Below are 21,381 nucleotides of genomic sequence, written 5' to 3'. Positions count from 1 at the left end.
TAATGAGAGACCAATGTGTGTGCATGGCCAATTTGAAGAAGAAGGGGGAAAACAAAACAAAACAAAACCAAAACTGTAATTGTGTGGCTTCTATTGCTCAAAGTGAATCCAGGGTCTTAAGCTGTTTCATGGAGCCCCAAGGTCAAGGCTGCGATGTGCCTGGGGGGAGGGGTGTAGCTCACACATGATGCTGTGCTGCTGTGTTACCCACCAGGATGGCTCTGCCCCGCTAATGGCCCTGGGCACTTGTAGTGGGCTTCTCCCTGAACACAGATCAGAAATGCAGGCTCCTTTTCTGCAGTACTTTTTAATCCCAGCAACTCTCCACAGCAAAGAGTAGTTTTCCACAAGGAAACCAAGCTGGTCATCTCTTCTCCCTGCCAGGTGAGTTTGCCTTGCAAACTGCTGTGGGAATGACTTTCCTCCTAGGACCTACCTAGGTGCAGAATTACATTTAGATGGCTATTACTTTCTCATATTCAATATTCCTCTTACTACCACCTGTCATTTTCACCTGTTGTTCTGGTATTCAATTCTAATCCTAATACTCTTTGCAAAGCTTCCACTTTGTTCTGTGATATTTCTTGGTTTTTTTAGAGGAAGAAAGTTAAATTAAAATTTAAAAAGGAAAGAAAATAATCATGTGGGAAGGTGTACATAACTCTCGAAACAGAGTGTGAATTTGTTTCTGAATTCAGACTTCAAGTGTTTTAGTCACATAGTGTCAGATACGAAGATGATAGAATTCATAGATTACTCTGACCATCAATGTTTGAGATCTTAAAAGTCAGGACAGCTTTTAATTCCAGTATTCACTCTGTGGATATTTATTTAATTCCAATATCCACTCTATATAGAACCTAGGTGAGGCTGAAGGAAGAAAAGCACAGTTAAAAATATGCAGGGTGCAGCGGTTCATGTCTGTAATCCCAGCACTTTCGGAAGCCGAGGCGGGTGGATCACCTGAGCTCAGGTGTTCGAGACCAGCCTGACCAACAAGGTGAAACCCCGTCTCTACTAAAAGTACAAAAATTAGCCGGGCATGGTGGCAGGCGCCTATAGTCCCAGCTACTTGGGAGGCTGAGACAGGAGAATTGCTTGAACCTGGGAGGCGAAGGTTGCAGTGCAGTGAGCCGAGATCACACCACTGCACTCCAGCCTGGGCGACGGAGTGAGACCCCATCTCAAAAAAAAAAAAAAAAAAAAATTCAGGTTTTCTTTCCAACCAGAAAGATTTTTCCAATCAGAAAGCTGATTTTGTCAGGCCAATACCTGAAATTTTAAACTCAGATAAGACTTGAAAAACATATAAACAACCTTTCACTTTGAAACACTCTGCATATATTTTTAGAAACCTATTCCTTAACAGATTTTATCTGCTGTAATAATCTTTTAGTGAGTCAATAACTCTACCAACTGGGCAATAAGCAAAATAACAACTTGCTTCATTATTTTCTTTAAAGTCCAGGTTTTACTCATCCTTCTTTCTCCATTCTCAAAGACAGAAGAAAAGAAGAGCAACCAAGAGATGCGGTGGAGTGGGAACGATGATAATCATCTATTGACAGATATCCCGGTAGAAGAGGTGGATTGCCCATGTCTGAGGCCGAGGGAGAGTTCTCACTCTGCTACGTGTTCATGCAGCACCAGCTCAAGCTGCAGGAAAGCACATGCGTTCCTGTGAGCCACATGGAACCCTCCATCGGAACCCTCCCAACAAATCACCATTGTTTAAAACTTTAATCAAGATTATTTTCCTGAATTTAGTAAATGTATTAGTTTTTATAGATACACCTATGTCTATGTCTAATGAAAATCAAGAAAATCCACTGAAAAGCCAATTTGAAATAATACCTATGTGTGTGTATGTGTGTAGAGAGAGAGGGAGAGAGACGGAGACAGAGAGACAGCAAGAGAAAGAGAGAGGACAGAAAGAGAGAGGATGCATTGAACGTCTGTGTAACCATTGCATATGAAAAAGATTAGGATGGGTGTGGGGGCTCATGCCTGTAATCCCAACACTTTGGGAGGCTGAGGCAAGAGGACTGCTTGAGGTCAGGAGTTCAAGAACAGCCCAGGCAACTCAGTGATACCCCCATCTCTACAAAAAAAAAATCTTTTTTTAGTTATGTGAGTGTGGTGGTGTACACCTGAGGTCCCAGTCACTGAGGGGGTGGAGGTAAGAGGACTGCTTGAGCACAGGAGTTCAAAGCTGCAGTTAGCCATGATTGCACCACTCCCTCCAGCCTGGGCAACAGAGAGAGACCTTATCTCTCAAACAAGAAAGAAAGGAAAGAAAGGAAAGAAAGAAAGAAAGAAAGAAAGAAAGTAAGAAATAAAGAAAGAAAGAGAAAATATATATGAATAAAAGTAGGTTGTATGTGAAATAAACTGTATGTTATTCATCCCTCTAAGGGTCTAAAATCTATAAGAAATAATATGTTCACTTTATGAATGTAATAAGTTATTTTTGATACACTGTCTTTGTCTTATGGACTCTTTAGAGCATTGAGGCGATAAGTTGAGTCTAATTCCACAACCTCTGCCTAGGGGTACAGGGCAGACTTCAATGGGTTTATCTAGTGGAATAGCCCACCATTCCTAACCCATCCCTGCCCCGGATAAAGAAAACCTGTCCCAAGCTCTTGGCCCACAGAAGACGTGACATGGTGCTCTCGGGCATTGCTGAGAGAACACAGGGACAGCACAGAACTCCCAGAGGACTGGGACAACAAAACACACCCTGACCTTTAGGACAAAAGAGGAAAATGGAGTGAAGAGGTGTTTCTCTTTTCTGTGCTCTGGCACCTATCCATTGGCCCGGAAAGGCAAACAAATCAGAATGGACTTGAGAAAATAAGAGTGGACTGATGTGGACACTTGCAGGGAGGCAGTCACCAGCAACACTTACAAATGTGGCCAAGGATCTCCACTGCAGCATGGTTGGGCACAGGGCAGGTCTGGGATCAGGCAGGATTTGTGAGCATGGTGGGGACTCCTAGGCTGCTCCCCTAGAAGAACAGGTCTCACGGTCTCCACTCCAGCTGGCCCCAGCTGAGCTCATCTTTGTACAGACTGCACTCTGTCCAAGCACAGAACTTGGAAATGGAGCCAAGGGAGGGTTTTCTCCTCCTCTAACGTTGGAGAGGGCATTGTTGCAGACTACGTGAATGAAGGAGAATCTGGCACGAGGAATCTTTCCATCCTCCTGGCTGTGGAGTGAACAGGTGGTCCCAAATCTGTCTATGTGGTGGGGGGCGGAGGCGGGTGGGGAGAGGATGAATCTGAAAATATAATGTCCTGAAACTTAAATTTGAACCACATGAAGGAGAAAGAATAAGCTCTAAGGTAGCACTCCCAAAAACTTCCACTGAAATATCAGAAGAAACTGCTTATGCTTGGATAAGAACGAGCAGGTATTGGCCCAAAGCCACCCTCTATAGTCACAAAATGCATTCGAAATCTTAGCTTTTGTTTTTAAATCGTATGATGATTTTGTATTCTATCGTATAGTAGATCTGTGATTGTTTTAATATAAATGTATAGTTTGAAGTTCTCAGTTAAGTTACTTAGCTCGTTCCCCAAAGAACCACGTGGTGAAGAGATGCTGCAGGAAGACACCCCACACTTGTTCTGTGACTTGGTTTCTGCAACCTGGATACACCCCCTGCACCTCTTGGTAGGTATGAATTTCACAAGCACAGCTAGGGAACAGGAGATCTGCTCCTGAAACAAAGAGAGAGGCCACAGGGGCAGAAGGAGGTCACACAGCAAGGAAGGAGGGGTGATCAATGCAGCCAGTGCCCTGCCCCTCAGGGCACCCCACTTCAGGGCCACCCCATTCTGCTCACCAGAGGACTCAATCACCAGCCACCTTTACACACCCCAGCCCAAATGTGGATGCAACTTACTTCTGGTGGTTTCTCTTAACCTAGCTGAGACAGGTAATTTTTTTTTTCAAAGAAATTGGGAAAAAAATAAGGAGAAATAGGAAAATAAGTACAAAGAAAATAAAAAACCAACTTTCTTCCCTCTCCATGTACCCTCCCCTGTGACAGCCACACGTTACCTCAGATGACCGGAAGACTGTGCAGCTGTTTTACCCAGCACCAGCTCACGTACCCCTGCCAGGGCTGGTCTCCCGGACACCCCGAGAAGGAACTGTGGTCAGAGCCCAATCGCGGCTTAAGACATAGGCTCCTCTCTCGGTTTCTTCTCTCTCTCTCTCTCTCCATCTGTATGTGTGTGGTGTGTGTACTGCATACGTTGTATGCATGTGTTGTGTGCCATGTGTATTGTGTGTGTACTGAAGATTACGTGTGTACTGAAGATTTTGAGTGTGTTGTGTGCTCTGTGTGGTGTGTGTGTATAGTGTGTGCTGGGTGTGCTGTGTGTTGTATGTGGTTTGTATGTATATGTTGTGTGTGCTGTATATGTTTTGTGTTGTGTATGTTGTGTGTTGTGTGTGCCGTGTTGTGTGAGTGTGCTATGTGTTGTATTTGTGTGTTGCATTTGTGTGCTTGTGCATGTTGTGAGTGTGTTGTGTGCTGTGTGTGTGTTGCATTTGTGTGCTGGGTTGTGTGCTGTGCTGTGTATTGTGTGAAACACACACAAATCTGGACATAGTGCAGTGACTCTCAGGACCAAACAGAGCACAGAGCTCCAATCTACCTTTGCCACCCACCCAGAAACACCCCCCTCAGTAATTCCACCGGAGAAGTTTATTCTTCACCAGGAGGTGGTAAGGATGGGGTGACTGGCAGATTAAATAATCCCAACCCTCAGGCAAGATGCCAACTTCTGTATGCAGGATTTGCCCCAGCCTTGTAGTCTACCAAGTGTTAAATAACACTAAATTCATACAATAAATATAACAGTCACACAGTAATTCTAACTAGAATAGTAAGAGTGCAGCCTTTTCACAAAAGCATAATGTGGAATAAAAGCACCAAGCTTCCATTGAGAATATGCAGAAGGTTGAAAGTAGTTCGATTTAATTATTTCATTACAGCCTATACTGTAGTACGTGCAGGTAGACAATATTTCTATAACAATATCAATGATATATCTTAGGCTTTCTCTATAGCATAGTAGAGAAACTGGCAGGGAGGAAAAAAGGATCCACTCCATTGAAAATAATTCATTCTTATTTCCAGACCAAATCCTACAATTGAATTCAGTCTCTAAAATTTGGGTAAATTGCATGATTTTTGTTTCCACTCTGACCTTTAGAATCTGGCTGATTAAGGCTCGGTCTGCTAGCACAGCTGATCTGTCCTTCCACCAAGCTGACCTACTAGAAACCAGCCAATTCAGCCAGGCAACCAGCTACTAATCAGCCAGTTTCTGGTTAGTCTGTCCTGCTTACAAGTTCCCAGATTACTTAACTGCCAGCATCCAGGAGGGTGAAGGAACCTGTCCTTCTTCCCATGAGGACAGGAAGGACAGTATTCTGTGGGAAGAAGGGTCATTGTACAGCTTAGAAAAGAATCAGTGGCTGGGCGTGGTGGCTCACGCCTGTAATCCCAACACTTTGGGAGGCCGAGGAGGACGGATCATGAGGTCAGGAGATTGAGATCATCCTGGCCAACATGGTGAAACCCCGTCTCTACTAAAAATACAAAAATTAGCTGGGCGTGGTGGTGTGTGCCTGTAATCCCAGCTACTCAGGAGGCTGAGGCAGGAGAATCCCTGGAATCGGGAGTCGGAGGTTGCAGTGAGACAAGATTGTGCCACTGCACTCCAGCCTGGCGACAGAGTGAGACTCCGTCTCAAAAAAAAAAAAAAAAAGAAAAAAAGAAAATAAAAGAATCAGTGATGGCAATTGAGCCCAGAGACTGTGGCCTCCCAGCCAGGCCACACACACTGCACACATCACTCTCTTGGCTCTGTCTCAGCCAGGTCCCACTCTCTCTGCACTGTGACTAGAATGGAGCTGTGTAAATATGGGTGGCATTAGCGCACACTCCACCATCAGTGGAGATCCTCCACTGATATAAAAACAGGACACCAAAATGAACTGCAGAGTCCTGCCTGTGGTCTCTGGGTTGATGGAAAGGGCATTTTGCAGGGTAGCTGTGTGTTAAGGATACACTTTGGCTATCTCCCCTGGCAGGGTCAGTTGGAGGGAGAGCTAATCGCTCAGTAAACAGAGAGAAGAGAGAAAGAGAGATGCTTATACTTAATAAGCCATTGCAAATGGAAAAAGCAAGCTCCTACCCACCGTGATTCTCTCTAGAAACAAATGGCTTGGATCCAAGCACTACAAAGCCCTTTCAGAAAGCTGAGAGGGTCTCCGGGTCCCAGCGCCCCCAAACATAACCCTTTTGTGTGGTTCTCTTTCTTGTGGAAGTAGCTTTAACAAGGGAAGAGGCAATGACTCTGTGTGTGTGTGTGTGTGTATACCACAGTCATGATTTTTCCTTTTGTCTTAAGTTATGGTACTCCTGATGTGCAGTTCACCCTTCTCCCTTGGGGGCAGATGGAGCAATTACAGGGGAGGGCCAGACTGAGGTGCTGGGTGTTCCCAATCCCCTTCCTTCAAGCCCCCTGAACCCTGAAGAGCGAAAGCAGCACAGAGCTCTAGCGGTTCAGCAAGTGGCAAAGCTGGCCTGGTGGCAGAAGGGAGGTCGAGGTCTCTGCCAAGGCTTGCTGCTCTGGTTTCTCTCATCTCTGGCCTGTGCCAACCATCCTGTCAGATGAAAGAAACAGTGTGGTTCGATGCGCCAAGTCAAAGCTCAAGCTGGGAGCCGCAGCCACGACCCCGTCTCCACAGTCGTTTACATTTATTATTTTGTGCCCACTCTGGATACTTTCACTTAAAATGTGGGAAATAAAAACACAAACCTGTCTCCCCAGGCTATAAAAAGGAATGACTAATATAAAAAAGGGGAAAAAAGGATCATAGAACATTTTGTAGATACACTACACATAAATCCTAAGTAAGCCTGGCGTGGGGTAATGGCAAATACAGCCATGTGAGGAGATAGAGGGGCACTTTGTCCCTGAGAGAGCTCCAAAACCAGGGAATTCCAGGCATGGAATGACAGCCTTCCTGCTTGCACAGTGGCTATTACTCAGCCCTTTTCTAGGAAAAAGGACTTCAAAGATTTCCACCAATCACCCACATGGCCAATGTCTAAGGCACTAGTATTTCTTTCCATTTCAATTTGAATACAGCAAGGAATCCAGGAAGAAGACAAGGAACATTTTTTTTCTGTCTTCTACACTTAAGAGAGGGTGACTCTCTGGTTACTTTCTAGAAATAAAGAAAGGAAGAGCACTCACTAATAATATAGCCCTTTGAACTTCCAGCTTCTGATTAGAACCAGGGGCTTAAACATAATCATCCAATAGTGTTCGTTCTGTGTACCTCTCCATTTTTGTCATTTCTCTTCCTCCTGTTTCTAAAGCTAGATTCAAAAGTTAAAAGAGGCTGGGCATGGTGGCTCATGCCTGTAATCCCAGCACTTTGGGAGGCTGAGGTGGGCGGATCACCTGAGGTCAGGAGTTCCTGACCAGCCTGGCCAACATGGTGAAACCCTGTCTCTACTAAAAATACAAAAAATTAGCTGGGCATGGTGGTGCACACCTGTAGTCCCTGCTACTTGGAAGGCTGAGGCAGGAGAATTGCTTGAACCCAGGAGACAGAGGTTGCAATGAGCCGAGACTGCACCACTGCACTCCAGCCTGGGCGACAGAGCGAGACTCCATCTCAAAAACAAAACAAAACAAAACAAAAACACAACACAACAAAACAAAAGTTAAAAGAGATTTAAAATAAGTATTGGGATATTTCCATTCTGCTAAAACTTGTAGCTAATTTGCCAAGTCTTATTTCATTGTATTTGTACATTTGCTCTTTAAAAAAAAAATGTTTCAAAACCACAATGAGATATCACTTCACACCAACTGGGATGGCTGTTACTAAAGAAACAAAAAATAACAAGTGTTGGTGTGTTGGTGAGAATGTGGAGAAATTAAAACTCCTGTGCATAGCTGATGGTAATGAAAAATGGTGCTGCTTCTGGGGGAAACTATGGAAGTTCCTCAAAAAACAAAAAAGAAAATTACCTTATGATTCAGCAATTCTACTTCTGGGTACACGCTGAAAAGAATGGAAAGCAAGAACTTCAAGAGATATTTGCACTCCCATATTCACAGCAGCATCATTCACAATGGCCAAAAGGTGGAAGTAACTCAAGTGTCCGGGGACAGATGAATGGGTAAACCAAATGTAGTAAATACACACAATGGGGTCTTATTCAGCCCTAAAAGGGAAGGAAATTCTGCTACATGCTACAACATGGATGAACCTGGAAGATGTTAAGTGAAAGAAGCCAGTCACAAAAAGATGAGTATTGTGTGATTCCACTAATATGGGGTCCCTAGAGTAGTCAGATTCCTAGAGACAGAAAGTAGAATGGTGGTTGCCAAGGGCTGGGGGCAGGGGAAAATGGGAATTATAATTATTACTTAATGAGTAGCGAGTTTCAGATCTGTAAGATAAAAAAACTTCTGGAGATGGATGATGGTGATGGTTGCACAACAATGTAAATGTACTTAATGCCCTGAACTATGCACATAAAAGGGTAAAAATGGTAAATTATATGTCATACATATTTTACTACTATAAAAAAGTGTTTTGAACATCTGACATCGTGTTCTACCTCCATAACATTTGTGACGGAGAAAGAATAGGTATTCTAATCTGCGTATAAACACAGGAAGACAGATAGAAGGCCTCAGTCCTCTAACAGTTTTGAGCCTGGACTGGTGAGATCTATCATCTTCCCCTGCAATCAGCCACCTGCCCAGCTACTTCCGGATGCCTCACCCTTTGCTTGAAGGCATAAAGATAGGTCCCCCACACTGTTCAACTCCAGGGCCAATGGCAGCTGTGGGGTCAGAGGAGAAGAGGTTTGGGCCTTACTGGCACCTCTCCTCCTTCTCCTGCTTTCACATCTGGCCAGGGGCACTCCCATTCTGCTAGCTTCTCAGACTCCACCCAGTTCTCCTAATCCAACAGGAGTGCATGTTCCCGATTACCTCCCATGACCACTGGCTCTCACGGTGGCTGGGAACCCTGGCGGGGAGGCCTGCGCCTCCTCAAGCTCCAGTCCCTCTGGATGGGTGAGTCCCTCCGGTGCCTTTGTCCTGTGTCCAACTTCCTTTGTCCTCTCCAGAGGTCTCTCCTGGGCTTCACCACTGGTCATGGTCCTCCAAACAGCAGCTCCCAATCCCCAGGACAGTTCTTCAGGACACTACCCCTTCCTCCCAGGAGACCCGCAGGTTTCAGCTCTCCTGGGGCCACTGCTGGACCAAGTCCTCAATTGCTTCCTTGCCATTATCCTCTTTGAACTCCCTCTCTCTCCTCTAAAAGCCCCTCTGGCTGCAGACTCCTTAATTGCGTGGCTGTTCCTTTCCAGAAGCAGGTGCGCCTGCCTCGGGCCTCTTCGGACTTTCCATCACAGGCCAAAGGAAAACCAGCGAGAGCTTGCATGACACCGGGTCCGTATTAAGACAGGCGCAAAACGATCCTTCCTCTTCTGTGCGCCTTAGGGAACGCCCGAAGGCATGCAAGGCTGGGGCTCAGGGGAGGGTCCCCGAGCGGGCAGTCAGGGCTGCCCTCAGGCCCTGGGCAAGGAGGTTTCCGGAGGCCCCTCAGTTCTCGAGTGTGTGTGTATGTTTTTGGTGGTGGTAATTGGGAAGCAGGGGGTCAAGACCCAGGAGTGCAGAGAGTGGGAGAGAGGATCTCCTCCGCCCATCCTGGGCTCCTGTCGGGCCTAACCTCCACCCAGCGTCAACTTTTTGCTGCTCCCGTTAGATGGCGCCCAAGACTTTCTAACCACTTGTGAAAGTGCTCCTGGCCCGGAACAAAAAGAACCGTGGGGTGTGAGTATGAGTGTGTGTGAGTGCGAGTGCGCGCGCGGGGCTGGCCACAGGGCACAGGAGTTGCCTGGCACTACGCGTGGCCCCGTCGCGGGTCGGGTCGGGCCGGCCCAGGGCTGGGGCGCGCTCACGGGAGGAGCTGCGCGCGGCCGGCGGAGAACTTTCTTCTTTTCCCTTCGCTCTCCCTCTTGAGCGAGCGCCTAGGCCCTGGCCACTCTCCCGGAGAGAAGCCGGGCGACCCGGCCGCGGGCTCAAGCAGCCAGCGCCGGCTGCAAGTGACCGCGGTGCGCGGGCGGAAAGGGGTCCCGGACGTGCGGGTCGGAGAGCTGGGACGCACACGACAGCCCCTTTCTCTGCCCTTACTTACCGGCCCAGCGCTCACAGCCGCTGCCCTGTTTTTAAGAGAATGGCGCAGGTGCAAGTTTGGTTGTTGCGGTTTTAGCCGCTCCAAGGAAATTGTTCAGTGTAAGGTTACCTAAGCGTACTGCGTGGGCGTGTTTCCAGAAACAAAGGGCAAACTTTCTCGCTCCCAAAGCCAGTGAAGTTAAACAGACTCCCTTATGAAAAGGCCCTTGGGGACCCTAGGGCGTCAGATGCGACAGCTAATTTTAAAATAACTGTTTAACAGGTGATTAGGGAGCGCGCTTTCTCTCCACCACCAAGTTCACCTCTTCTCCAAACCCCTCTAAAATAAGTGACTTGACGATAGGTGATCCCATTCCCTAGTCCTCTCCTTAATGCCAGTCTGGAGGCGCACTGTCAAGAAGGGATGCGTCTCCTCGCCCTTGAGAACCAGCGCGGAGACCTTCTTTTGTGCCTCTCCTTGGCTGTGAACTTTCCCGCGCGGTAGGTTCTCCTTTAAGAAAGTAGCATCCCTATGAATATTTAATGCTGCACGCGGGCCGGCGGGGCGGAGGGGAGCCCGCGGCCTGGGTTTCCGCGCGCGCCGAGACCCGGGCGCAGAGCGAGTGCGTCCCCACCAGCCTGGCCGCCGCGGGAACTCGGGGACCGGGAGGGCGGGGGTTAGCGGGAGGAAAGGGTAAGCTGAAGAGGGGCTGGGAACGGGAGGGAGGCTCGGGGCGAACGGGCCGTCGCGTTCATTTCCATAAGAAAGCTGAAATCGCAGTTGGAAGCAGGATTTCTCGCCCCTGCAGCCCTTCCCCCATACCCGGTTTTCTGCAAGAAGCGGGCTCCAGAGCTCAGAGCCCGAAGTGTGTGCTCTGGTCTTTGATGATGTTGATAAAATGTGGTTTCAAATGTTGTCCCGAAGAGGCCGGTTTCCTGTCTGTATGTGGAATGGAAGGACCGTGCCGGGTGAGTCCAGAACGCCGGGGAGCGGACAGGAGGAGCAGGGCTGAGGAGAGGGAGGGCGCAGCCGGCGGGCGCAGGGCATCCCTGCAGGGGAAGTTCTCCAGGGGGTTTTGAAAGGGGGAGCCAGGTTGAAGCCAAGTTTCCCGAGCAAGGAAGAGTGTGTGTGTGTGTGTGTCTGTGTGTGTGTGTTCGGGGGTGGGGAGCGCGATGAGGGAAGACGTCACGAAAGCCCCAGAACCCAGGCGGCCCGCGCGTGGGAAGGTCTGGCAGGTCTTGTCACCTCCCTCTTCAAAGAGCGGGGGAAACTTTCGCTGGCCGTCGCTGACCCTCTTCCTGCGAAGGAATAAAGTGAACTTGCCCAGATACTGGATTCCACTGGCGGTTCAGTTGTTGAGTTCTTTCTGCGTTCGCATTGAGCATTGAGTTTCTTTTTGACTTGCAGTGTGAACAGCAGCCATGTGACCTCAATTCTATATCACATATATATACACACACACCTCCTAGGTACTTTATGATCCCATCTGGAGAAATTAAAGCCCAGATCTGTAATGTTTATTCTTAGATAGTTTACCAAAAGCAGGGGGGAAATGTGTGAGACACATGTCTGCAAATATAACAAAAGTACTTTCCCTTATGCTTGAAAAGTTGCCTGCAAATGGCTGGCTTCCGTTTACTGACTGCACCACCTGTACCTCTCCATGAAACTAAATGGAATCAGGAATAAAGCACCAATCAGATCAAGCAATTAAATACCAATTATGACTATTAATGACTTTATTACTAATGACTGGAGTTGAGGACTCCAAACCCAAATGAGGTAATCAAGCTGTTTTAAAATTCTGCTACCTAATATTTTTACCGCACTCCTTCCCCAAAATAGGAGGTTAAAAAAAAACAGGTAATGTTTTCAAAGAGTTCTCCAGTAGGTATTCATGGTCAATGTTGAACTTATTTTTCTCAGAAAGTTTATTGCTACTGCTGGTAAATAATGGAGTCTTCCTTTCTGGCTCTGCCAAGTTACGCAAAGTGTAACTGATGATGGTGGTTACACAATATATGGTACTTGGTTTGGATGCAGAATTGGGATGGAGCAGGGGTGCTTTCTGTCTTCAATTACTCTGATAATCCGGCAGACCCTAGACGATTTTAAGGAACAAGTGTTTTAATTCTTCAGATGGGGTAATGGCTATTGGGATGTTTGGAAGGTGAGGAAATGAAGAATGGGGAACCCAGGCAGCAAAGAGAAAGAAGGAATTGGGCCTATGTTTTGAATTTTCTTTTTGCTCATGGGTTGAAATGCCTTTAGCTTGTCATAAGCTAAGTGACTGAAAAGAAAAGGTTACTGAGAACGGTATATTGGTGTAAAGGCTACTGTGTAGCTGGGTTTATTTATTACTGAAGATGATTTGCCAACCCTCCTTGCCTCTTGATTGACACCCCTTCTTATCCCAAATGGAAGTCCCTGTTCATTCTGGGATAGGAGGAAGAGGCCTGGAGGGAGGAAGGGAATAAATTTCTGCTGCAGTCCATGAGAAGAAAGGAGGGGGCAGTTAGTAGGGATTCTTTAGTCACCATGAAGCAGGCAGGCTAGGCAGCTGGGCACTTGGAGGAGCCAGCAGTTCATCTTGATGTAGGTCATCTCTGCTCATTGTCCCATAGTTTAGCTCTTCAGGACACAAGGAGTGTTTGGAACAATGAACTTCAAGTCCCTGGCTTGGGATATTTCCCCTTCACCTTCCTCCTAGGTAGAAGCCTACAGCAGCAGCAGCAGCATCTGGTTCTGATGTGTTTACCGGGCTGGTATGGAAATGCCCAGGCTGCATGGCAGAAACCTGAGCTGCTAGTGACAAGCACACTCCTCTGCTAAGCAGCGAAAAGTTTTGATACTTTTTGAGCACTGGGTGGCCTCTTCTCTTGATGTGAAGCCATGAGCCCCCCTCCCCATTTCTATTTGTCAGAGTTAATTGCCCTGCAGTGGGGCAGCTCACACCTCAGGCAGTGCCAAGAAATACAGCAGGGAAGGAATCCTGCACATGTAACAGGATGGCGTGGTATTACCTTAGACACCTAGGGGATCAAAAACCTCAGTGGAATGAAATGGGCCTGGGGTATTCTCCCTTTGGTGCCTCCCTAGGGACAAGCCTCTTTGGCCTGGCCTAGACTGTGGGCAGCTTATGTATGATGGCCCTGAGTCCTGAAGGTGAAGCTAGTCACTTTCTGTAAGTGGACAGTCGACCCAAGAGGCAGTTCTAAAGAGGAGAGCCTGAGGTGTCCACAACAATTTCTTTTCTGTTCCAGGGCACCAAGAGGCACCCTGAGAACTCAGAGGACCCAGAGGCTCCCCTCAAGCAAATTCCCTGCTGACCCTGGACACCCCTTGAAGGAGGGGGCAAGAGGCTGCCACAAGGCTCATCTTATAACTCCCAGCAAGGACTCCCAGCAAACAAGTTCAGCTTGGGATCTGCCCACCACCAAGCCTGGCTGGGAGGTGGGGGGGAGCGAGGGGCGGTGGAGAGGCAGAGTCCCTGAACAGGGAAAAGACAATCAGTTGTTCCCCTTTCTGGTGTCAGAGGCAAAGAAGCCTGAAGGGCTGGTGGTGGTGCTGGCTCTGGGTTTATTGACTCTGTGATCCTGTCCAGCTGTCCTACAGGGAGTTCCAGAGCTCTCCCAAAGTGCATGAGGAACTGCACAAGTAGGACTGGGGCACAATACCAGAAGCTATTTGTCTCCTAGAACCTGGCACCCCCTCCACTTACCTTACAGGAGACCCACATCACTCAGTTCCCAGGACACCTGGTGGGAGAGTCTGGTGAGATTTGGAGGCAGACTTCCTCTACTCACAACTTGTTTGAAAATGGACATAAAGAGAAGAACAGACACTCCATCGCCCCTTCAGGGCCTCCTTTGTGTCACAAAACCTATCCCCTCCTAGGGCACCCTTGACATTCCCCTAGGTGGGCCTACACATTGTTCAGAACCTGTCCCCTGTACCAAAATAAATATAAATGAGTTTGTTTCTTTAAAAGAAATATTACAGCTTTAAACTTTTCCCAGCCGGAATCCACCTAATTTCATCAAGGTCTCTCGCTAGCAGCCATAACCCAGGCCAAAAGGGCTTGTCCCTAGGGAGGCACCAAAGGGAGAATACCCCAGGCCCATTTCATTCCACTGAGGTTTTTGAACCCCTAGGTGTCTAAGGTAATACCACCACCATCCCCACCTGTTTTCAGTTCTTTCTTTGTGGCTTAAGATTGCATTTTTGGAGGGTTTATGTAATGTTGTTCACGTCAGCAAGTCTCCCTGCCCCACCCTCACCCCACTGTCCTATATGGAATTATAGTTGGAAACCACACACACATAGAAAATCTTTGAAGATTTTTTTCTGCTATTCTTCCTGACTAGAAGAGTTGACAAGACATAGACACATTCAGTTGCATAAAATACAGTAGCGTGATCAGCCTAAATGCATCTCATTTGCACTGTTTGTAACCAGGGGTGGGGGCTTGTGTCACTCATTGCCTCCCCCTCCTCTGCCCAAACCAGACCCGCCAGCTGGAATTTCAGAGCAGGCCCCAAGGCAGCAGCCATTTGGGAAGTGGAAGCCCTAGCCCACCCCAGTCCAGCAGGGGTGCGGGGTGGATAGAGAAGGTGTCTGGAGGTCTGGCCTGAGGGCTTGGACCAACTTTGGCAGACCTGGGCTCTGGGAGGCTTGGCCGGTGGGTGACCACAGCTGGAAGTTGGAGGTCTGCAGCGATGCTTCTGAGCTTCTCCTGAGTTGAGTTCAAGAAAGGGGACACCAAGAAGTAGGGGAACAGTCACTGACTATATTTTACATCCACGCCTACCCCTTTCCCAGAGTTGTGTTCTCACCACCCACTTTGTCGGCGGAGGAGAAACACTGCTGCCTGATGCTTGCACTGCTGCACTGTTCTTGCACCTGCTCCTAGCCCTGAACTCGGGCCCTGAGCTCCTCACTGCCGCCCGCTCTGCGCTGAGCCCCACTCCTGAGACCGCGAGGTGCCAGAGCAGCGCCTCTCCCACCAACTCCTAGACGCCTGTAGGAGCTGCGCCGGAGCCTTCAGAACCCCATGGGGGTGTGGGGGTGAAGTTGGAGGTCATCCGGGTGATTTTTTTCTTACTTTTTCCTAATTGTTCTCCTGCGTTGATTTCAACTCTTCCAGTCTCCCGGTGCTGGGGCGCCAATCCTTTCCCAACAATTCCTACCCACCAGCTGGAGGTCGGGGCCCAGGGTTACCCCAGAGTTCTATGGTGGCAGGGGGCGCCGAGTAGAGGGGCGGGAGGAGCTGGGTCCTCGGGAACCAAAGGGGACCTCAGCGGGGGCGGAGTGCGCAGCCTTGGCTGCTGGGAAATGCCCAACTAGCCGCTGTGAGTGCCCACAGCGCGTCGTGGGGGCGTCCGTTCTGCAGCTCGGGTGACTCAGACGCCCTGCCAACCCCACCAGCTCCCGGCTTCTCGAACGCTCTTCTGATCGCCCAGCGGGGAGACTTCAGGGCCTGCCTCGTCAGGCCAGATTGCAGCCCGCGACCTTCCCGGATTAACCAAGGGCGGGGCCTGTTGCCCAGCAAGGCTGCTGCCTAACTGAGCCTCCCGGGGAACAGCCATGACCAAAGCCCCGCGGGCCCAGGCGCGGGCACCTACCCCTACCCGCTCAGGCCTGTGGGAGCGCAGGGGCAGAGGCCGAGACGCTGGACTTCCAGCCCCACACCTCTGACAACCCGGGCACGTCTGCGGAGCCCGGGGGAACAGTCAGCGGGCTCTGCGTCCCGGGAGCTGGGGACACGCCTGCAAGGTGTGTGATCCTTTAAAGATCCTTAGTACTAGTTTTGTAGGGAGCCTTTGTTATAGCTTTGTCAGCCTGCGCGCCTTCAGCAGCTCCCCCTCCCGGGCCCCTCGGTTCCCTCCGGGCTCGCCCCCAGCGGAGAGGGCCCGGCGCAGGGGATCTGCCCAGGATCAACTGCCCTCTTCCAGATCCCCTTCTGCGAGATTCTTTTCCTTTGGTTACAATCTCCCCTCCGTGCCTGGGGCAGATAAACACGGTTCGCCCCGCCTGCAGTATTGGGGCGATGCTGTCCTGGAAGAACGGGCTTTCTGAATGTGACCTCGGGATGCTGCAGCGGCGCAATGCTGCTACTGCTGAATGAGTAGCTCTCCTGCCACCGCAGGGCGACTGCGGTGGGCACAGCAGGGCGCACAGAGGAGGGGGTAATCTGCCCACCCAGGCTAAGGATTTGAGGGTTCTGACAAAAAAGAGCTGGTTGAGGATGACACAGTTGTGAACTAACCTGGCTCCTACTACCCCACAGGGCAGCCAGGTCCCAGTAGTCTTGGGTACCACTGCCCCCACCATACCACCATTGTAAAGTATGGACTCCTGCTTAGCCAACGTGCAGCTCTAGGCAGGATCTCTGAAGGATGCTCTGGCACACAGATGGTGCAGGTATGACTTTACCTGCACACAAGCTTACATGTGCCCTGTCATATATGGCTACACGTTTCCCCATTTCCCCACAGTCTTCCTATTTAACTGGTCTTCAATCCTCCTTTCTAGGGCTTTCCGCCTGCACACAGTCATTTGGAGAAAATCAAGTGAGTGCACTTCTCCCCACAGAGGATTCTGTATGTTATGTAACACACTCACACTGGGATTCCTCAAGTTACCATTTTGCCCCAACTCAGCCAGCACTTGGTTTTCTGGCGGGGGTGTCAGGATGATGCAAATGGAGGTGGAAGCTTCATTCCCTGGGGGCTTTTATTCCCCTCCTTGAAGCCCCAGTTCAAGGCCCAGGAACAAAGGGGAAAGGTAACTGATCTCTCTTTTGGTCTTTCTCTCCCCTCACTTCCACCCCTTCACCTGCAGGCCCTCCTCTTTGATAAATAGAGGAAAGCCCGTGGGATCAGGTACATATGTAAATACTGCTGACCTCGGCCGCCCCTCCTCACCGAAAAGCAGAAAGCCCGTTTCAGGTGCAGGCTGCTCCGTGCCTTTGAGTGTCCACCACTTCTATTCCCCCAGACTGCTTGGGACTCAAGGCCACTCACTTAATACCCGTCTCTTGTTAAAAACATTCAGGACAACTATTAAATAGTTATTGGAAGAGTTAAAGACCTTCTTTCAGGAGTGAAACGTTTTTAAAGCTGTGCTTGGCATAAGTCTTTAAGGCGTACAAAGTAGAATCAGTAGACTTGCCTGAGCGATTTTGAAATTTGAAAGATTTCTCCCCATGAAATGGTAATTTAAAATAGTTTGTAGATGTTGTTTTGTTCTGTGATGGCTTTTTCACCATTGTCACCTAAAGATTCTCAAGACCAAGCTACTAAGACATTTCATTTGGTTAGTTTCTGGGTGATACTGTGCTTTCTGATTAGACCTATTTAATTTATTTTTAACTCTGCAGGAGAGTTTTCAACCTTGGAAATGTAAGTGAAACACAGACTCACCCTCCTTCTGAGACCTTGATAGGGGCAGAAAGGAACAAATCTGGCTAGCCCCCCTCACACCTGGAAGTTTCCCTGTCTAAACCTGGGTACAATGAGCGTGGTGGGTTTTGTCACCTTTTATTTTATTGCTGGCTCAAGGAAAATTCTTTGAAATGAACATCTATTCTATTTCAGTGTGCAATGTTCCAGCCGACTTAATGGGCTTGCCTTATGCGGAGAGGCAGTCCTGCAGGACAGAGCTAATGTGTGGTCTCCCAGGAAGCTCATCAGAACACCTCTTGTCCCTTTTCTTTAAAAGAAAAAAAATTTAAAAAGTTTTTGCTTCCATCTCAATGTCCATTCCATTATTTTGTAGCTACAATAAAGAAACATGGGCAGCAGTGATCATTCTTTTTGTCCTATGTAATCATGTCTAGTGTTAGGACCTTACAAAGCTCCAGACATACCTCAGGTGTATTCTGCACTTTTCATATTTATTCACTGCTCACTGGGTCACACAGATGATTCACACTTGATTCCACCTTCCTCTGGACAACTCTCCCTCAAACAACACCCCTCTATCAACTTATAGGGAAAGGAGATTCACTTAGAGAAAACTTCTTGAATTAAAGACCAGACTCAGTTTCGCCAGGTAACTAATCCTGGCATACCGGTGACTAGGAAGTCATCACCTAACACTCTACCTAGATATAAACTCTCAGGAAGGAGGCAGGCCGGTGGGGACATTTCCACAGACATTTCTAAAACTGTGGCAATTGAGTATATTTTACAGATACAATTTTGGTAGATTCCCATCCAGCTTAAGACATTTAAAATGCAATTTTGTTCACACGCATGTGCGCGCACACAGACACACACGCACGTGTCAACTAGGGTGATATTAACAGTCCATTTCCACTGGGCAATTCTGTGACAGCAACTACAACTAACAAACTTCTTTTCTGAAGAGTAAAAAAGAAAACAAAAGCCTCTCCATCTATTTTAAAAGGTTATTTTATATTGTTTAGCATTCTTTCGAAACAGGAATTGGCTGGACACTTCTCCCTTTTCAAAGATCAGGTAAACTACTCTCCCACCCACCTCCTCCCCAAGACCAAGCCATTTTTTAAAGCAAAAATTCTGTTTCCAAAGGAAGAAAAATGAACAAATTCCATTAATGAATTACATACATGGAATGTGGCTTGTCTAGGACATTTGTATTTGTAAATAAATGGCTCCCTGTTTATTATGTATGTTTTACTGGAAAAAAAACCAACTCTAATGCCTCTGAGCATGTTATAATACAGCAAATATTTCCACTTATGGTTTCAGTTCCACTGTTTCTTGGTACTCACTAGAAAGAAATCGGGTTACATGGAGTCAGTTGTGGGGTTTAAGCGTCCAGGCTGACTTGGGGACGCGGCACCTCTAAAGTTCTCATGTTTGCCAAAGTGCGGGGGGAAGGGGGAATGGCTCCTAGGAATCTTATGGGGATTAATCTGGGGTTTCGCCTTTGTCCCGGGATCTTTCTAAGGCTCACCACGGCCTCCGTCTGCAGCTTCAGAAGCGAAGCCGGCGTGCGATCTCCTTGGCGGGCGGACTGGGCACAGTCCCTGCCTTGCCCTGCTGCCGGCGCCCGCACACCGCGGTCTCAGGATCTCCCCGCAGGCCTAGGCCTGCAGTCCTCGGGCGGAGACGGGGCCTGGGGGAGCGACCCTCACCGGGCCAGGCACAGGCAGTTTACCCTGGTGCCTGTAGGGTGCTCGAGTTTCCCACACGCGGGAAGCGGAGGCGTGGGCCAAGCGCCGGGGGCTGCCCAAGAACTCCACCGCCCCGTGCGGCGCGCAGGGCCTGGCGGCGCGAAACTTCCACAAAGCCGCCGGCCGCCTCCGGCCTTGCCTCCACTCCGCAGTCCCAGCTGCCTAGACCTCGGTGTCTTCCCAGACAATGAGCCCTGCCAGTGCACTAGGCTGTTCCGCTCTGACTTCTTCTGCCCGCACATGGGGACCCGAGCGAAAGGTTATGGGTTGGAACAAGTCAGCGCATCTCCTTCCACGCGCCGCATCCTTCGGGAAGACAAACAGAGTACGCCCCCCACCTCAATTTCGGGCCCTGGTCTGTGGGCTGGGCCACAGTCCGGGAAGACCCAAGGGGTCACGGGTCCAGATCCGTCTTTACTTTGTCCTCCGCTCCAGGGCTCCAGGGCCCTGGGCAGCAGAGAGGTGGATTTCAGAGAAAGCCCGGGTCAGCCAGGCCTTGAACTCAGCCCCTCTGAACTCCACCGTCAGCAGCGTGGGCGGCAACTCAATTCTCCTGGGAGGAGGCTGCACCCCCAGAACGGAAAATCCGCAAACGTCGCGCAGAGACCCACAGGCATTTCTACCTTTCCTTCCACAAGCCCTGCAGAAAGTTATCGCCAGAACCTCTGGAACCTGAGCCGACTCCAGCCTCCAGCAACTCCCTCAACCTTCCAGGGAAACTTTCAGAAGTTTCCCTTTCCTTCGCTCCTCAATTCCTTGGACTTTCTCCAGCCCCCAGGTTTGCTCATTACTCTGCTGACTGCCCTTTAGTCTCTAGGGCTCCACAGGCCTGAGCGTTTCCAGAATAATAATAATAATAATAATAATAATAATAATAATAATAATAATAATTGTTATTATGAGGCTGGGGAAGAACAGGATCAGAGGGTAGGAGGGACTGAGGGAGAGAGTGGACATGTTTATGAAAAGGTTTATTTAAACCTGTGTTTCAAAAGGGTTCAGTTGACAATTATCAGTAACCCCGATAGACAACTCCATTAAAAAAAAAAAGAATTTACTATTGCTCTTGAAAGCCGTTATTTTTTCCATCGCTTTTTAGGAAGATAGATGAACAAAACATCGCGTTTCAAGCCATTTTGATCTGTAATTGAAAGGCAGGATCGGTTTGTATTCTCCTACGGCTTTTACAGAAGTTGCAGTGATCCAAAGTCGGGTTGCTGTGTCAGAGTGGCATTTTTATTAATGAGAATACAAAAAGCTTGCATATTCTTAGCCCTGCTTGAATTTAGTTGCTAAGCAACGGGTGTATGGTAATTCATCCGCGAAATTTAAATCTTTGAGAAAGGTTCGTGCGTTTTGCTGAATGGTCGCCACGAGGAAAACAACTTGTGGGACCCACAGCAGCTGCCACAGTCTGGCCGCCCGGCCGTGCCGGGCCGAGCAGGGACCCGGCCGCCCCACCGCGACCGCCACCGCCCCACCTCCGCGCCCAGCCCTGCCCTCCCTCCCGGAGAGAAGCGAGCTTTGGACGCCCGGCTGCCTCGGGTCCCCCTCCCCCTCCGCCTCTTCTGATCCGGGGTTTTCACCGGAGGCAGGCCTTACACCTGACCCCGTCGCCTGTACCCCTAGGGCTTCGGGGTCCAGACTGCGAATTTCCGCTTCCCCCTCCCCTCACGCGCACCCACATGCACACGGCACGCGCGCGCACACACTAGCGCACACATCGTGCCGCCAAGAGAATGACTGTTGCCCTCTTCCCAGACCCCTCTGAGGTCACTTCCAGAGCCAACTCTTCCTTGAGGAAGACCGGACTCATCAAGAACGCAGCGCACAGCCCGCCAGAAGGCCAGGCGGCCGCCTCTGGCCGGCAGTGACATCATAGGCTCCTGCTCGCCAAGCTCGCGCCCGCATTTTAGGATACAGGAACAAACACGGATGTGAAATCAAGAATGAAAGAGAGAGTAATCTAATTAATAGGCCA

At 49.2% G+C, this 21,381-nt stretch overlaps 2 protein-coding genes and 1 long non-coding RNA gene across 7 annotated transcripts in view, besides 3 other annotated features; 2 read left to right on the top strand and 1 right to left on the bottom strand.

Moving 5' to 3' along the window:
* Positions 1-21,381, bottom strand: part of POU3F3 (POU class 3 homeobox 3) — a 74,498-nt gene that overhangs the window by 44,323 nt on the left and 8,794 nt on the right. The gene's annotated exons all lie outside the window — the stretch shown is intronic.
* Positions 10,035-10,144: a silencer, noted in NCBI's record as "silent region_11836". NCBI's record gives its function as "represses an Ori minimal core promoter by ATAC-STARR-seq in GM12878 lymphoblastoid cells {active_cell/tissue: GM12878}" and the evidence as "EXISTENCE:reporter gene assay evidence [ECO:0000049][PMID:35858748]".
* Positions 10,450-11,175: an enhancer, noted in NCBI's record as "NANOG-H3K4me1 hESC enhancer chr2:105488734-105489459 (GRCh37/hg19 assembly coordinates)". NCBI's record gives its function as "activates a minimal SCP1, AML or CMV promoter by ChIP-STARR-seq in primed H9 embryonic stem cells {active_cell/tissue: H9 hESC(primed)}" and the evidence as "EXISTENCE:reporter gene assay evidence [ECO:0000049][PMID:30033119]".
* On the top strand, positions 10,856-17,954 carry LINC01159 (long intergenic non-protein coding RNA 1159). 2 transcript variants are annotated; one of them, NR_110373.1, is made up of 2 exons: positions 10,856-11,205; positions 15,059-17,954. It is a non-coding gene; the product is annotated as a long intergenic non-protein coding RNA 1159 (long non-coding RNA). The 2 variants fall into 2 exon arrangements; NR_110374.1 differs by lacking the exon at positions 15,059-17,954 and adding an exon at positions 13,501-14,227.
* Positions 15,606-15,900: a silencer, noted in NCBI's record as "tiled region #193; K562 Repressive non-DNase unmatched - State 22:ReprW". NCBI's record gives its function as "represses a minimal TATA promoter and a strong SV40 promoter by Sharpr-MPRA in K562 cells {active_cell/tissue: K562}" and the evidence as "EXISTENCE:reporter gene assay evidence [ECO:0000049][PMID:27701403]".
* LOC124908045 (uncharacterized) lies at positions 16,250-20,210 on the top strand. Its single transcript, XM_047446880.1, has 2 exons — positions 16,250-17,023; positions 17,836-20,210. Exon 2 carries the CDS (start codon positions 19,080-19,082, stop codon positions 20,208-20,210), a length of 1,131 nt encoding a protein of 376 aa, XP_047302836.1. The 5' UTR covers positions 16,250-17,023; positions 17,836-19,079.

The sequence above is a fragment of the Homo sapiens genome, chromosome 2 (assembly GCF_000001405.40).
Source record: "Homo sapiens chromosome 2, GRCh38.p14 Primary Assembly".
Taxonomy (NCBI): Eukaryota; Metazoa; Chordata; class Mammalia; order Primates; family Hominidae; genus Homo; species Homo sapiens.
The sequence above is the reverse complement of the archived record's forward strand: the minus strand, read 5'-3'. Positions and strand labels throughout refer to the sequence as shown.